This window comes from Homo sapiens, chromosome 2 (genome assembly GCF_000001405.40).
Source record: "Homo sapiens chromosome 2, GRCh38.p14 Primary Assembly".
In the NCBI taxonomy this organism is placed as follows: domain Eukaryota; kingdom Metazoa; phylum Chordata; class Mammalia; order Primates; family Hominidae; genus Homo; species Homo sapiens.
Window position 1 is genome coordinate 45,188,985 of NC_000002.12, and position 18,363 is coordinate 45,207,347.

The window sequence follows — 18,363 nt, forward strand, 5'->3', positions numbered from 1 at the left end:
TTCTCCTCCATTCATTTGGGACCACTCATCATTCCCCAGATACAATTTTTACTTTTATTCCTCAGTGTTTTGCTGGTTCCTTGCCTCGGAACATTATCCTCCCCTTTTGAAATCCTACGTGGCTTGTAAGGCTCACCTCTTCCATGAAGCTTTCTCCTGTTCCCCCTGGCACAGCACACTTCTTCCTCCTGTGAAGTCAGGTAGAATTTTGCTTGTCTCTCCATCACAGGACTTATTTCATCCTTGTCTTTGTTACGCCTGTATCCTGAAAGAGCCCAGCAACATGGATCTTACTATTATTTGATAGTGGCAACTTATTATTTGCTGACTGACTGAATGAATGAATGTGAGAAGTGAAATTATTTGCTGAATGAATGAATGAATGTGAGAAGCGAGATTATTATTTTGCTGAATGAATGAATGAAGTACTCCACTGTTTCATGGGTGTAGTAACTATGACAACTTTCGTGGTATGCTGAGTGGTAGATCATAGCGCTTTCACATATTAATAGCTCAGTTTTATCAGGAGCACAGTCAAGACCCTGCCAAGGCCCACAGAGCAGCCCCCCGGCTTCCCTTCCCCACTGCTGTCCATGCTTCCTCCTGGGGCATAGACCTCTCTGCCCCTTTACTCTGGATAAGATTAAGTCTCGACTTTCATTAATCTGCAGCCGTTTAAAAGAGGAACTTTGCACCCTTCACAGGGCTGCTGTGAAGTTGTCTGTTACCCCTAACACTTGTTCCCCTACTTCTTCGCCCTCTGCCCTGGCCAAGATTTCCCCTCCTATCGTTCAGATACTAGCTGAAATGGTTTGGATCTGTGTCCCCACCAAATCTCATGTTGAATTGTAGTCCCTAGTGTTGGAGGTGGTGCCTGGCGGGAGGTGATGGATCATGGGGGTGGCTTCCTCACGATGGTTTAGCACCGTCCTCTTGATGCTGTTCTCAAGATAGTGAGTGAGTTCTCACAAGAGCTGGCTGTTTAAAAGTGTGCAGCACTTCCCCACTCACTCTCTCTTGCTCCTGCTTTCACCATGTAGAAGCCTCACTCCCCCTTCACCTTTTGCCATGATTGGAAGCTTCCTGAGGCCTCCCCAGAGGCAGAAGCTGCTCTGCTTCCTGTACAGCCTGTGGAACCATGAGTCAATTAAACCTCTTTTCTCTGTAAATTACCCAGTCTCAGGTTTTTCTTTATAGCAGTGCAAGAACAGCTAACCCAAGTTCTTTTTCTTTCTCCCTTTCATGATGGGCTTTGCCTTGCCCTTCACGTACACCTAAGTGGAGACCTCAGTCCCTATGTCTGCTTCCCAAGGACTTCTGCATCCAAGCTTCTTTTTGAATGATAAAATGAAAGGCGTCGTCCCCTAGGAAAGGCAACTCAGGACTTAGGAAATGGGCAGGGGAGTTCTGAGGGGCTGAGATCCTTCCTCCTGCTCCTTGAATGCCATAAGCAACTGTCTCTCTCCTCTATCTTGCCCTGCAATAAATTCAGGGTGGCCAGGACCACACAGAAGCCCTTCCCCCAAATACCATCCTAAAAGCAGCAAGAGGGAGCCATGCGGAGGGGAGGACAGCCTGTGATTCTGGCCTGTCCCAAGGGTGAGTCAGCACTCATGTGGTCAGCCCTCTGGCTCTTCTCCCCCAGCCTAGGGAGAAAATGCTGAGTCGCACACCTTGTGGGCAGCCACGGAACCAGGGGCTCCCCTGTTGCTCTCCATCTCCCCATGCCCCAGTCAGCTCCAGACCTCATACCCGCTTCTTGGCCTTTGATGAAGGGGCCTCGCAGGCTCCAGACAGCCGCCACCCTGGGAAGCCATCCCTCTAGCGGTCAGATGAAACGGAGGCTTCCAGGGAAGGGGCAGAGAAAGAGCCAAGAGTCTTGTGTCCCTCATCTGTACCTGTGCAGGCCTGAGCAGGAGACACAGGGCCCCCCTCCTGGGCTGCAGGCAGAAGTGGAGCGGCCAAGACCACAACCCATCCATCCAGGTTTCCATTCATGAACCTTCTACAGGCTCAAGGCTGGAAGGCCGCCTCCTTTGCTGTGGCTTGAAGTGGTTTGCGCAGACCGAGTCCAGATATGTAATAGCTGTTCGCTATTTTCTATGAGAAGATTTATTCAAAAATAAATTTAGCTAAGGGGGGAGGAAAGTTAAAAAAAAAAAAAAAAAAAAGGGAAAACAGAAGGACAGATTTTCTTACTGACTCACTGCCAGGGATTGAAACATGGAGGCAGGCCTTCCTTTTGGAGAAGAGAGACAGCTGCAACATTTCACGGTGTAAAGTCAGCGAATTTCCACAGGCCTGCCAGCCAGGGACCACAAAATGGTTTCAAACAACGGCTCGCTTCATGCTATTTGTGTGTGTGCGCGCGCATGTGTGCGTGAGTGTGTGTGTTTAGAAAAAGGCAAGGGTGGGGGGTGGGCAAAGGGGAAGCTAAAAAGTGTCCTTGCCCGGCCAGAGTGGGCAGGGGCGGAGTGAGCAGATTAATGAAAACGTTTCGCTGGCATGAGGGGTTTGATTGCCCCACTGCAAAATTGCTTGCAGATTCAAAAACAGCATGTTTCATTTCAAACTCATTCTCTTGCCATACATTAGCACTTGTCAATGTAACCATTAAGCACAGGCAGTGCAGAAATTTAATTACAAAACCATTTATTTTATTGAAAGAAAAATAAACCCAAGCTACCTCAAATGCATTAGGTAGGTTCAAAACATGTTCAGCTGATAACACCCAAGGGTAGGGAGGCTGCTGCAGGAATAAATGCGTCTTTCATGTGCGGTGGGGACTCGATATTAGAAACAGCTGCCTCTAGGTCCTCTTTATTTAAGTTCAATTAGGAATTAAAAAACAACCGAATTAATGAAGGGACTTTTTATATCTGCAGTCACTCGGCTGTATTCATTCTTCTCTTCCCAATTCGCCTCCCCTTTTAAGTATTTGGATTAAAAATGCTAATTACTCAAAGTGAACTTTTTATGGAATGGATCCCCCTCTCCACCCATTCTCCATCCCATCTCAGGCTTGTCTTTTGTTCTCCTAATGGGAGATTATGCAAGGCCTATCGTATTAAAGGAAATCACAAAAATGTGCTAAACACATCAAAAAGTCTCCAGTCTGTATCTTATTTATGCCTTCTTCCCTCTCCCCCACTTACGTCTTCCACACAGTTGGAAAGCCAGCAGCGTTAGGCTCTCTGGTGAAATACTAGATTTGGGTCGAGCCGCCGGCTGATGTCATGCTGGAGACCGCCTCTCCTGAGCACTAATGGGCTGCCAATAACAAGTCTGTTTTACTGTTCTTCTGGAAAGGAAAAAAAAAAAAGTTATAACCTTCGTGGTTTGGACTGATTTGTCAATTTAAAGTGCACTTTTTTTTTTTCTGTCTGAGGTATCTACCCACAATTTCTTACAGACATCTCCTCATGCAGTCCACTCGCAGGAGGAATCTGGAAAGGGAAGATTGGTTATTTTTTCTAATTTTCCTAGCAATAATACAAACCTCTAAAATTTCAGAGAGGCGTCTGTATTAGTTCGTTCTTATGCTGCTGATAAAGACTACCCAAGGCTGGGCAATTTAAGAGGTTTAATGAACTTACAGTTCCATGTGGCTGGGGCAGGTCTCACAATCATGGCAGAAGGTGAAAGAAAGTCATGCCTCACATGGTGGCAGACAAGAGAAGAGAGCTTGTGTAGGGAAACTTCCTTTTTAAAACCATCAGATCTTGTGAGACTTATTCACTATCACGAGAACAGCACAGGAAAGACCCGCCCCCATGATTCATTTATCTCCCATTGGGTCCCTCCCACAACACATGGGAATTATGGGAGCGACAAGATGGGATTTGAGAGGGGACACAGAGCCAAACCATATCAGCATCATTGGATCATTTGCCTGGTGGGAGGTGGGGAGTGGGAGGCAGATAGGCATGGAGGGGGCTCTTCTCCTGCAAGTTCATTTGTAGGTCTTGTAACTACACTGATGTGCAGTAGCAGACCTTTGTGACATTTATTCAGTGATGGTTCTGCCTCTGTCACTACTGTCCAGTGTGAGACCTAGGGAGGGCTTCCTGGCCTGTTTCAGAAGGGCCTCCAGAGCTCTGTTGCCCCTTGCAAGACCACGGCCAATGCTTTCTGGAGCTACCCACATTGTCATCTAAACTGCTCTGAGACCCACCAGGCACAAAGCCAGGCAGCTTGGAAATTGGCTGGACGGGCACAGCTGCCTCTGACCCAGCTGCCTTGATCTGCCCTTGACACGTACTCTTCATGCCAAAGACCCAGGGAACCCGAGGCAGGGAGAACACATTCAGAAAGAGAAATTCACCATTCCAGGGAGTAACCCTTTACCAATAGATTGTAGATAAGCACTTGCTTGGAGAAGAGAAAGGAAGGCAGAAGGAAGCAGGAGGGAGGAGTGGGTCATATTTTAATATTCTAAGAGACTTGGCATCTAACTTGAGCCCTGCAAACCAAGGAGGCACCAGGGTAGAGTGGGCCTCCGTGGTGTTACCATAAGTGCATCCAGCAGAGAAAATAGCAAAATACTGCAAACATTCCCTGAGGGGTTCAAAAAAGTGATACCCTACCCTGACCCAGCCCTGGAGAGATGCTCTTCTAAAACCATGTATATGAAAGAGCAAAGGGTCTGGGGGCGGGGGATGGGAGGGAGGTGGTAGGGTGGGGGTGTGTGGGAAGAGAGGGCTGGATTGTTTAATGCACTGTTACTGAAGGAATTTCCACTTGGGTACGTATGTGCTGTAGACTTTCTGAACATCACATCTCACTCAATAAAAGTGCACGCCAACACCACGTGCTCTGTTTATATCTCTCCCTATCCAGTGCACTGGATGGATGGATGAAGGCACTCTCCCAGGCTTCCAACTCTTGGTAAGTGTGCATTTTCTAATTACATTTCTCAGCCTGGGCTTCAGACAGGAGAGCTCAAAAAAATGTATTCCAGTTTTACAAATAACAATGGTTTTTTAAAGAAAGCAACTCAATGATTCAAGAATGACTTCCTTTCTCTTATTCTTGTCTTCAAGAGTAAGAAGTAAACTCCCAGGAAACAGAATTGGTTTCCTCTCCTAGGAGTTGGGTTGTAGATGGAGCATGCAAGTTCTTCAAAATGATCCCATGGCTTAGAAGCAAGAAGAGGGGAAGGGAGAATGAGCTTGCATCCAAGGGGCCTTCTAGAGAGTGTGGAATCCTGAATTGTGCATAACAGAGTGTGCCTGGGAAACAGGAGAGCTGGATGTCATACCCAAAGCATCATTTTCACAGGCAAAGCTACTCCTTCTCCCTAAGGAGCTACAAAACCCATAGCAAGATCATGTGGCAACTAGGGCCACCTGCTTCGAATAGGGTTTTCTCTCCCTGTTTTGATCCTTTACCCCCACTCATTTCCCTGCTCTGTGACACACAGAGTAGATAACACCACCTTAGCATTGAGTTTTAACCATTTATTCACATGTATTGTTGAGTACTATATTCTGGGCATTATACTAGGCATTGGGGATTTAATGAAGAACAAGACAGACAAAGTTCTTGCCATTGTCATTTAAATCCCAGTAAGGGAGGTAGACATGAATCAGGTAAACAAATAAATGAAAGGGCCACAAACTGTTAATGCTTTGAATGGAATAAATTGAGCATTAGAGTGGGCTTTAATGGGAAGGTTTGTCTGAGGAGGAGAGTTATGCTAGATCTAAAGGCAGAGAAGGAGCCAGCCCCATGGAGAGCTGGGAGGAAAGTGCCAACAGTGACAGATGAAACAGGCAACACAAAGCTCTAACGCCCATGAGAGTGTGGCCTGACTGGGATCAGCCAGAAAGCTGTTGTGACTAAGCGTGATGAGTGAGGTTGGGCAGTAGCGTGGACACAGAACATTCTACATGTAGTGAGAAGCCACTGAATGGATTTTTAACAATGGATGAGCATATTCTGATTTTTGTCTTAAGAAGGTGATTTTCTGCAAATATGGAAATGAACTGGAAGTGGGCAAAGGTAATAACAGGGAGACCCTTCGGAGGGTATTGCAGCTGAAGTGAGAGATGGTGGCCAGAATTGGAATGGTGGTGAGTGTTCTGCCTCGTTTTGTTTCATGTAGGTTGATTTGTTTTTTTAGGCAGTTTGAGAGTTCTTTGAGAGCAAAGAGCTTATTTTATTCTTCACAGGATAAAGGAGGAGCCCCACTCCTCACCACCAGTATGTTCATATGATGCAACAAGAACATACTCCTTCTCTGCTTGGTCTTCAGTGCAGGGCAGCCTGACACACGCTATTCTTCTGACCTCCTATGCCATCACTGCCCTTTTGGGGGGACATGATGCTCATGTCCCCCAAATACTTCCCTTTTTCCCCTCTTCCCAAACTATGACAGGACTTTCCCAGAGCCCTTCTACTTAGAATGTTCTTCTTTCTTTTTGGCAAAGCCTGGCTTTTCTTGCTATCTAAATTTTCTAATAAAATACCAACTCTCTGAAGGCTTTTCCTGATTCCTGGGGTAGTGGCAGCAATGTGCACCTCTGTGCTCCCATGGTGCTTTGTTCACGTCTGGAGTTTTGCACCTGCTCACACCATGTTGTACACTCTCTGCTTGAGTGTCTGTCTCCTAACCAGATCCCTAGCTCCTAGTTACAAACTCACTGCCAAATCTCAGCCTTTCCTTTAAAGAGAAGTCAAGGTGAGGATAGATTTTGAATCATGTTATATTTGAAATCATGGTATTACATGGTTAATAATAATAAATCTTATCATTATAAACTTCCATTGTATTTTACACTTCTATTAAACTCTTAAATAGTTTTAAAAGTTTAACTTCTATTAAACTCTTAGTTTTAAAAGTTTAACTTCTATTAAACTCTTAACTTGAAACTTTTAACTTCTATTAAACTCTTAAATCTTATCATGATAAACTCCTATTGTTTTTTAACACCTAAGCTGTGGCCTCAAATTTAAACAGAAAACAGGCCTGGTAGAATGTAAATCCACGCTCCTAATGAATGGCTGAGTGTGTGAGCTAGAAGATTGATCAATAGAAATTATCTAATCTAAAGACAAGAGGAAAAAAAAGGTTGAAAAAATGAACAAGCTTCAGGGACATGTGGGACAATATCCAAATGTTCCATATGCAGTTAATTACAGTCCCAGATGCAGACAACAAAGATAATGGGGCAGAAAATATATCTGAGAACATACTGGCTGAAAAACTTTGGAATTTGTTGAAAGACATAAATTATAGATCCAAAAGCACGGGGAACTCCAAACAGGATAATTTTGAATAAAATCCTATCTAGGCACATCATAATTAAATTCCTAAAAACCAAAGATAAGGAGAAAATCTTGCAAGTACCCAGAGAAAAATGACCGATCACTTACAGGGCCATGACTCAAATGACTATGGACTATCAGTGGTGGTGAGGGAGTGGAATATGGACTTACACTGTTTCAAGGTTTCTACATTTTATGTGAAGAAATGCAATATTAACTAAATATACTGTGAAAATAGAAGGATGTTTGTGTGATAATCAGATCAGCCATTTAAAAATGAATCCAATGTGATGTATCTAAAAATCTAACAAATAAAAAAGTTAAAACAAAATTATAAAATGTATTCAATTGAAAAAGGTAGGAAGGGAGAACAGAGGAACTAAAAACAAAGTGGACAACTAAAAAGAAATACAGTCTTAATACAATCATATTAATAACTACGTTAAATGGTAGTGGACAAAATATTCCAATTAAAAGGCAGAGATTACCAGAATAGACTGTTCTTTAAAAAGCAAGATCCAACTATATGCTGACTAGAGGAGATGAGCTTTAAAAACAAAGAGTCAATTAATAAGGAAGACATAATCATAAATGTATATGTGCCTAAGAATAGATCCTCAAGATACATAAAGCAAAACTTGACAGAATAAAAGAAGAAATAGAACATTTTACAATTATTGTGGGATATTTGAATACTCTCCCTGCAATTGGTAGGCTGCAGGACAAAAATTCAGTAAAGTCATAGAGAATCTGAGCAGCCATATCAACACCCTAGCCTAACTGATGTTTACAGAACACAATACCCAGCAACTGGAGAATAAACATTTTTTCCAGCTGTACATACTCACCAACAAGGACCATATCCCAGGCTATAAGACAAATCCTAAAATAAATTATAGGATTGAAATAATAGTAGGATAGATCCTCTGATCACAATGTAATTAAATTAGGAATCAATTAAAATAAGTTATCCAGAACAAATCCAAATAATCAATTAAAACAAGTTATCTAGGACAAATCCAAATAAATATATTGCACTTCTAAATAATCCATAGATGAAAGAAGAAACCACAGAGAAATGATAAAATATTTAAAACTTAATGATAGGGAAACTACAACATAAACTAAAACAGTGATTAGAGGGAGTTTTATGGCTTTGAATTCTTACATTAGAAAAGAAGAAAGGTTTAAATTCAGTGATTTAAAATTCCTCCTCAAATCCAAAGTAAACCAAAGTAAGTAAAACAAAGAAAATAATAAAGAGCAGAAGTCAGTGTAATAAGAAACAGATAAGTAATTTAAAAAACGAGTAAACCCTAAAGTTAGTTCTTTGTAAAGAATACGAAAACTGGTAAATTTTGTCAGACTTTGTAAGAAAAATGGAGAACAAAAATTACTAATATCAGGAATGAAAGAGGACTTATCACCACAGAAATCACAGACATTAAAATGTTAAAAAGAGAATATAAGAACAGTATAAGGAACTTTATACCAATAATTTCTGCAAAATAGTTGAAATGGACAAATTTATATAAATATAAATCATCAAAATTTACACAAGATGAAATAGAGAATCTGAATTATAGGCCCGGGTAATTTCACTGGTAAATTTTATGAAACATTTAAAGAAGAGATAACTTCAAACTTACACAAACTCTTAAAAATTAGAGGAGGACAGGGTACACGTCCCAATTTGGTTTATGGTACCAGCAAAACTCTAATACCAAAGCACGACAAAGACATTGCAAAAGGGAACACTGCAGGCCAACATCCCTCATGAACATAGATGCTAAAATTTATAACAAAATATCAGCAGATTAAATCCAACAATATATAAAAAGGAATAAAACATCATGACCAAGGGAGATTTATCCTGGGAATACAAGGTTGGTTTAATATTCAAAAAATTAATCAATATAATATACCACATTAAGAGAATAAAGTAGAAAAGCCATACAATCATTTCAATGGATGCAGAAAAAGTATTTGACCACATTTAATATATGTTCATAATAAAAACTCTCAGCAATCTAGCACAGAAAAGAACTTCTTCAACCTGATAAAGGGCATCTTTAATGATGAAATATGGAACAGTTTCCCAGCAAGTTTGGAAACAAGGCAAGGATGCCCACTCTTATGACTTCTATGCAACATTGTACCATCAGTCCTAGCCATTACACTAAGGCAAGAAAAAGAAATAAAGCTTTTAAAGATCAGAAAGATAGAAGTAAAATTGTGTCTATTTGCAGGTGATAATTTTTTGTATAAACAGTTCTAAAGAATCTACACAACTACAATTAGAACTAACAAATGAATTTAGCAAGGTCACATGTTACACGGTGAATATATAAAAATTGATTTTATATTTTATTAATTTGCAGCAAAAAATTAGAAAAAGAAATTGAAAACCATTAATTTACAAGAATGACAAAAATATTTAGGAATAAATTTAACAAAAGATGTGCAAGACCTATACACTAAAAAATGACAAAATATTGCTGAAATAAATCGAAGAAGACATAAATATATGGAGAAATATACTGTGTTCATGGATTACAAGACTCCATGTTGTCAAGATGTCAGTTCTCCCCAAATTTGTCTATAGATTCAATGCGAAATTTTAGTAGGCTCTCTTTGTACCAATTAAAAGTCCATTATAAAATGTATATGAAAGTACAAATGACCTAGGATTACCAATATATTTTTTATAAGGAAAGACAAAGTTGATAGTCTTCTTGACCGAAGAACAGATGTGTAGATCAGTAGAACAGAATAGAGGGTCCTAAAATAGATCCATAAATATACTATTGATGGGCTTTCCACAAAGGTGCAGGGACAATTCAATGAAGAAAGAATGTTCTTTTCAATAAATGGTACTGGAACAATTACATGTTCATATACTCAAAAAAAGAAAGAAAGAAAGATGAAAGGAAGGAAAAAGGCAAAAAGAGAGACGGAACCTCTCTCTACCCTCCTTACCTTGTAGCATATTCAAAACTAAAAATAGATCATAGACCTAAATATAAATCTTAGACTATACAATATCTAGAAGGAAATATAGGATAAATTGTTTGTGACCTTGTGTTATGGTTTTAATGTGTATTCTCTTCAAAACTCAGATTGAAATTTTATTGCCAATGTAATGGTATTGGGATGTGGGCCTTTAAGAGGTGATTGGGCCATGAGGGCTCCACCCTCATAGATGGGTTTAATGTCTCTGGAAAAGGGCCTTTGTGGGTAGGTTCTCTCCCTTTGCTTTTCCACTCTTCTGCCATGTGAGGAAAAATGTTCCTTTCTCTGGAGGATGCAGTGTTCAAGGCACCATCTTGGAAGTGGAAACCAGGCCTTCACCAGACACCAAACCTGTTGTTGCCTTGATCTTGGACTTAAGAACTATAAGAAGTAAATTTCTCTTCTTTATAAATTACTAAATCTCATGTATTCTGTTATAGCAACACAAATTGGACTAAGACATCTTGGGCCATATTTCTTGGGTACAAAACCAAAAACATAATTTACAAAAGAGAATAAGATAAATTGGACTTTATCCAAGTTAAGCAGGGAGCAAAGTATTACTTTATTAATAGCTTAAAAACAGGCTTGCCCAGATCCCATAGCCAGCAAATGGCAGAGTCTAGAAATGAACTCAGGGCAGTCTGACTCCAGCATCTACAGTTTTATGCACAGTATTCTCATACAACTCTACTTGTAAGTTACAGTGTAGGGAGCATAGACTTCAACAGCACAGCTGTGCCTCTGAGCTAATTAGCCAAGAACTGCCTGCTGCTCCCCACCCTAATCCTCCGCTTGGACCTGAGGGATGCCTGAGCGCTTAAGCGTTAGCAACACTGAATGAGCTTTCAACAAACCCAGTGATGCTTCATCACCAAAGAAAAATGTTATGACAGAAGTTAGGACCAGGCTGTCTTCCCTGAAGATTTGCTAGCTCAATCTTGATAACTCGTTCTTGCTGAAAACAAGGGTTGTCCATGTGACTGGTATCACTCCAGGGGCTATGCTACAGTGAATGCAGTTAGGCAAGAGCTTACACCTCAGTGAGAGCTTGCACAGGGAGGGATGAGCAGGGTGTAGGGCTGAAATCCACAGTGTGGGCCCTTTCCTGCCATTCCTGCCTCTGCTTTTTTCCTTCCTACAGTGCTTCCCTTGGGACTAGGCACATAGTGGGTTTCAATAAAGACTCATTGCAGGCCCTGAGGCCAGTATATGGAGCTGCCTGGAATCCATGCAGTGGCATTGCTCCAGAGAGGGATCTTCTGTTGGGTGAGTTCATATACCCCTAAGACCAAAGAGCTGCAGCACAACAACATTTTGAGAGCCCAGCCCCCATCAGACTGCATCCTGTCCTGGGGTCCAACAGCTCCTGTGTCTTCACATCCCTAGAGCCTCACTGACATCCTCCTTCATCCACCCAGAGGACTGCAGTGGCATGATTCCAGCTGGACCCAGCAATATGACAGGAGCACCAACACTCTAGCACACCCAGTGTCCTGCACGTTGCAGCACACTGGGGAGGCTACCCCAGGACAAAGGGAGCTGAATGTCATGCTCTCCAGCACATGACAGTCACCTGCCTGGGGGCACTGCCTCTGATAGCAACCCCAACCCCCAGCAGCAGGGCTGCAGCACACTTACACATACCCTGAGGACAGGCTCTCTCTACCCACTGCCACCATTGCTGCCACCATCCAGGCACTTTACCTGGGGATGGGGCATTTCCCCACCCTGCCCATCACAGCCTGCACCCATGCAGGCCTAGGGACAGGCCCATCCCACTTGGCACCACCCCTCTCAGTGCCCAAGCATGCTTCCTGGGGATCTGGGAATCACCTCGCCCCATCCACCACTGCAGGGATCTGTGCATTCCTCCTAGGGCCTGAGGATGGGCCCACCCAGCCTGCCACCACAGCTGGCACCAACTCACACATGCTACCTGGGGCCCTAGAGACTGGCCGACCCAGTCCATCACTGCCACTACTAACACCAGCACCTTCTACCTGGGAATGTCAGGATTGTTCCACCACTGTTATTGCCATCGCACGGTGCCCAGGGGACGGAGGACCTTCCCATCTGCCTGGCTCACCACTGCCACTAATGGCAACTGAATATGCTGTCTGAAAGCCCAAGAATCAGCCCACTTGGGCCCACTAACAGTGGTGTCCATGTATACCACCTGGGAGCTCAAGGACAGACACATTTGGCCCACTACTGTCACTACTGGGGCCTGAGAGCTGGCCTACCTGGCACCTCAGTCTCTGGCAAAGCCTCACCACGGCCTCTGCTAACAACCACAGCCGAAGCCACTGAGGAAATCACAGACATCACTGACACTGCTTACAGCCAAAGAAATCATACAGAGAATACACACCTGCATGCACCCAGAACCAAAGCTAATGTACTCTACCCAACCAACACCAGAGATACATCTATAAGAAAGAGTCTTCCCCATGAGAGCCAATTCAAAAAATTGGAAGAAATTATTATTACACCAGATGCACAGATATCAATGTAATGGCACAGGAAACAGAAACAGCAAGGAAATATGACACTTCCAAAGGAACACAATAATTCTCCAGCAACAGATTCCAGTGAAAAAGAAATATATAAAATGCCTAGAAAAGAATTCAAAATAATGATATTAGAGAAGCTCAGTGAGATACAAGAAACACAAATAGTACCAAGAAAGCAGAAAAACAACTCAAGATATGAATAAGAAATTCACCAAAGATATAGATATAAAAAAGAACCAAATAGAAATCCTAGAATTCAATGAATGAAATAAAAAATACGATCAAGAGCTTCAAAAATAGACTAGATCGAGTAGAAGAAAGAATTTCTGATCTTGAAGACAGGGCTTTTGAAATAATCCAATCAGACCCCTCCCCTGCCAAATAAAAAAGTCGGGGAAGAATAAAAGAGAATGAAGAAAGAGTATTGATATATGAAGCAACACTATAAAGTGACCAAATATTCATGTTTGGGGATTTTCTCAGGGAGAAGAGATGGACAAAGGCTCAGAAAACCTATTTAACAAAACAATACCTGAAAACTTTCTAAGTCTATCAAGAAATTTAGACATCCAGATACAGGAAGCTCATGGAATCCCAAATAGATACAACCCCAAAAGGTCTTCTCCAAAGCACATATAGTCAATTGTCAAAAGTCAAAGACAAAGGAAGAATTCTAAAAACAGCAAAAGAAGAGCATCTAGTCACATATAAGAGTGTATTGCTCAGTAAAAGCCTAGGAGAGAATGGGATGATATATTCAAAGTGCTGAAGGAAAACCATTAGTAGCTAAGAATACTATACTCAGCAAAGTTTCCCTTCAAAAATAAAGGAGAAATAACATATTTTCCAGATAAGCAAAACTGAGGGAAATCATAGACCAGCCCTACAAGAAATATTCAAGGGAGCCCATCACCTGGAAGCAGAAGAACAATACCTACCGTCATGAAAGCACACAGAAGTATAAAACTCACTGGTAGAGCAAACATACAAATGAGGAAGAGAAAGAATTCAAATGTTACCACTACAAAAAATACACCAAACCATATTGATAAACAATGAGGGAAAGGAACAATGTTTATACAAAACAGCCAGAAAACAACAAAATGACAGAAATCAGTCCTCAAATGTCAACCATAACCTTGAATGTAAAAGCATAAAACATTCTACCAAAAAGATACAGACTGGCCGAATGGATTAAAATTTTAAAAGGCATGACCCAACTATATGCTACAAGGAACTCACTTCACCTGTAAAGACACATATAGTCTGAAAGTGAAAGGAGAGAAAATGATATTTCATGCAAATAGAAACCAAAACCAGGCAGGTATAGCTATACCTACATCAGATAAAACAGACTTTAAGTCAAAAATAGTAAAAAGAAATAAAGAAGGTCATTTATATAATGATAAATAGATTAATTCAGCAAGAGGATTGAATAATCCTAAATATATATGCACCCAATACCAGAGCACCCAGATACAGAAAGCAAATCTTATCAGATCAAAAGGGGGAGATAGATTCTAATACAATAACAGTTGGGAACTTCAACACCCCACGCTCAGCATTAGACAGATGATCTCAACAGAAAATCAACCAAGAAACATTGGATTTAAACTGTACTTTAAACCAAATGGACCTAACAGACATCTACAGAACAATTTATTCAACAGTTGCAGAATACACATTCTTCTCATCAGCACATGGAACAGTCTCCAGGATAGACCATATGTTATGCCAGAAAATAAGTCTCAAAAATTCTCCTAAACATCAAAGTCATATCTAGTGTTTTTTCAGATGATAGTAGAACAAAACTAGAAATCAATAACAAAGTGGAACTTTGGAACCTGTACAAATACATGGAAATTAAACAACATGCTCCTGAACAACCAATGGGTCAAGGAAGAAATTATAAAGAAAATTTAAAAAATTCTTTAAATAAATGAAAATGGAAACATAACATATCAAAACCTGTGAGATACAGCAAGCAGTGCTAAGAAGGAGGTTTATAGCAATAAATACCTACATAAAAAAATAGAAAGATGTCAAATAAATAACCCAATGATGCATGTCAAAGAACTAGAAGAGCAAGAACAAACCAAACCCTAAATTTGTATGAAGAAAGAAATAATAAAGATTAGAGCAGAACTAAATGAAATAGAGACTAAAAAAAGGACCACCAAAACAAAAGTTGTTTTTTGAAAAGATGAACAAAATTAATAAACTGAACTATACTAACCAAGAAAAAAGAAGACTCAAAAAAATAAAATAAACCAGAAATGAATAAGGTGACATTACAACTGATACTGCAGAATACAAAAAAAAAAACCCTCAAAGACTATTATGAACAACTACAAGATAACAAACTGGAAAATCTAGAGCAAATGGAAAAATTCCTGGACACATGCAACTTACCAAGATGGAATCTGGAAGTAACAGAAAACCTGAATAAACCAATAGGAGTAATGAAAAAATCTCCCAACAAAGAAAAGTCCAGGACTGGATAGCTTCGTTGCTTTATTCTACCAAACTTATAAAGAGGAACTAACACCAATTCTCCTCAAACTATTCCAAAAAAATTGAAGAGGAATGAATTCTCCCTAATTCATTCTACAAGGCTAGCATTATCCTCATACCAAAACCAGACACAGACACAACAACAAAAAAAGAAAACTGCAGGCCAATATCCTGATGAACACAGATGCACAAGTTCTCAACAAAACACTTGCAAACCAAATCCAACAGCACATCAAAAAGATAATACATAATGATTAAGTGGAATTTATCCCAGGGATGCCAGGCTCATTCAACATTTACAAATCAATAAATGTGATACATCACATCCACAGAATTAAGGACAAAAACCACCATCTCAGTAGATGCAGAAAAATGATTTTCATAAAATTCAACATCCCTTCATGATAAAAACTAACAACAAATTAGGCATAGGAGGAACATACCTCAACATAATAAAGGCCATGTGTGACAAACACACAGCTAACATCATACTGAATGGGGAAAAGCCAAAAGCCTTTCCTCTAAGAACTAGAACAAGACAATGATGCCCACTTTCACCGCTCCTATTCGACATAACCATACACCAAATATGCTCATGCATTGATCTTGAACTTCCCAGCCTCCAGAACTGTAAGAAATAAATTTCTTCTGTTTATAAACTACCCAGTTTATGGTATTTTGTTATAGCAGCTAAAACAGACTAAAGACAATTCTCTTCAAACAAATCTGGGCACATGCATTTAAAGGTCATGCTGAGCTTTGCCTGGTGAAGGGAAAGAGTAGCTAAGTCTTCATTCTGTCTTCTTGACCAGTTTGGCTCTGGGCGAAACTTGCCAACCCCTCGGGAAAAAATGTGTTGCAACTATCTATCGGGAGTCCTTGAGCATCTCTCGCAGCCACACTTTGCTTCTCATGAGATAGATCAGAGTTTAATGCTTCCCCTTCACAGTCTCCGGGAAGAATCCAGTAAATATGTTTTCCATCGTGTGTGTGTGTGTGTGTGTGTGTGTGTGTGTGTGTGTGTGTATTAGATCAACATCCTGGGGAAAGGCCTTGGCTGACCCATCTTTTAATCAGTATAATTATATCTTATGCACCTACACTACATACTAGCCCAATGCTGACAAAACATGCTCTTTGCCTTCAGCAAGCTTTCCATCTTCATAAGGAAAGGAGTCTCACTGGTAAGCATCGAGAACGTTCAGCCAAGTCCTGGGTCATACTGTACATGGTCTGTCTCTTGTAGGAGCAGAGACAAGCCACTGTGGCCTGGAGGAGCTTGTGGAAGCCTTCACGGAAAGGGCTGGGAAGGTCTTGAGGGACAAGAACATAATGTGAAACCAGAAAGCATGAACTAAAGCCAGGGAGGAAAAATTGCTGTCTGGACAGATGCACACATGACCAAGCCCGCTGGTGGTTGGTAGCCAGTTCCTCTGGGTTTTTGGGGCCTCTCTAGCCACATGCTCCTCTTAGCAGGGCCAGGCCAAAATTTCCACAAACATTTCCATCCTGAATTCAGCCAGGTTGGGATATTTCATTCTACCAAAAAGAGGAGCCAGAAGCTTTGACCTGAATGCATAAAACTAAGGTAGAAAAACAATGTTTGAAATTTTTCTTCAGAAAAAGAAAGCCCCACCAATAATCCGGAAATTCTTCATAGGGCAGAAATTCAAACCAGCAGCTTAAACTCCTTGACAGAGGGGAAAAACTCTGTGAAGCGCCTTCCCGAACTTCGATCATGATCCTGTTGTTCCTGGGAGAAAGAGAGCCTGAGACATGGCCTTGCTGCCTTGGGTCTTTACGAATTTGGGTCTGCCTCCAGTATCTGATGCTACAGCCAAGCCCTGGCCCTTCTCTTCCAATGCACCCGCAGTAACACTGATCCCAGTGCATTCCTCCCATTCTTCTGCCTCACAGCAAGCTTCAGGTCAGAGCGGTTGTAAGATCAGATTTGTTTGTGGAATAAAATGCTTTAATAGTTCAGCAGAGGGTGGAGGGAAAGATGAAACCAAGATGGCTGAAGCACTTATACCCGATGGAATGCTGTTTGCAAGATCACGGAAGAATGGTTGGGCAGTAGGATAGAGGGAGGCCTAGGGCCCTTAGGGTCAGCCCTCAACTCTAGGCAGCTGCCCAAAACCTATAGTTGATAAGGTCCCCTTGGAAGGGCAACTGAGCAATAAGGAAGTCCCTAAGTTTACAGTAACTGCAGTGTCAGAGCCACAGTATAGGCGAGCTGCCTGTCGGGTGGCCAAGGATCCCAGACCCCTTCTGCTTGGAGCTCTGTCTGCTCCAGAGATCTTTGAGCACCTTGGCTGCCTGGGTGTTCAGATTAGCAGAAGGAGAGACAATGGCAGGGACAACATTGCAGTACCCTCCCATAGATTCCCATGGCTTATGGGACATATTACAAGCCCGTAATAATCAGGAAATCAAGGCCTTTAAATTTGGCCCTAATCCATCTGCCCAACCTAGGTGCACCCTTGCACATTCCCTGTGCTTCAGCGAAGCCAATGTTCTCAGTTCCTCCCTGTTCCTCCCTCTGAGCATAACCTTTCCTCATTTCTCCCCTTTCTTAATCCCACTGTCTTGGAGGTCCACGAAGCATTCTGACTTGATGGGTCCAGAGAAAGCTCTTCTTTCTTCAGGGCTGGATTACACTAACTGAAGATCACCCTAGAGTTTACACCAGCAAAGCATGAGCAACTACAAGTATTGTTTGGCAAGAATTTGTTCTCAGAAATTTTCCTTTAAAAGTACTGAAATAATCATAATGGGAAAGACATGAACTTTCTTGGACTTCTTTACTATAATTTTGTTGTTTATAGTATCACTTATTTTTAATGACGTGGAAGGGTGCCCTATAATTTTTTTCAGAGTTTCTAAGTCCCCTAGATCTGAACCCAGACTGTCTCTCTCTGACCACTTTGCCAAGTGGCAGCCTGTCTTGCACATAGGGGCGCTTAATCACACGTGCCTTGCATATGGTTATGTAACTGTTTCCGATCTCACTTCCCAATTAGATAAGAATCTCCTTCAAGGCCAGCAAGAA

General features: G+C 41.4%; 1 long non-coding RNA gene across 1 annotated transcript in view, besides 1 other annotated feature; it reads right to left on the bottom strand.

Annotated features, from left to right (window-relative positions):
- LINC01121 (long intergenic non-protein coding RNA 1121) overlaps positions 1-18,363 on the bottom strand; it is an 80,601-nt gene that overhangs the window by 14,644 nt on the left and 47,594 nt on the right. The window contains exons 2-4 of the long non-coding RNA NR_033831.1: positions 3,156-3,301; positions 1,899-2,100; positions 137-265 (exon numbers count right to left, since the gene is read on the bottom strand). This is a non-coding gene — a long non-coding RNA (long intergenic non-protein coding RNA 1121). The remainder of the gene's footprint in view (positions 1-136; positions 266-1,898; positions 2,101-3,155; positions 3,302-18,363) is intronic.
- Positions 1,521-2,025: an enhancer, noted in NCBI's record as "H3K4me1 hESC enhancer chr2:45417644-45418148 (GRCh37/hg19 assembly coordinates)". NCBI's record gives its function as "activates a minimal SCP1, AML or CMV promoter by ChIP-STARR-seq in primed H9 embryonic stem cells {active_cell/tissue: H9 hESC(primed)}" and the evidence as "EXISTENCE:reporter gene assay evidence [ECO:0000049][PMID:30033119]".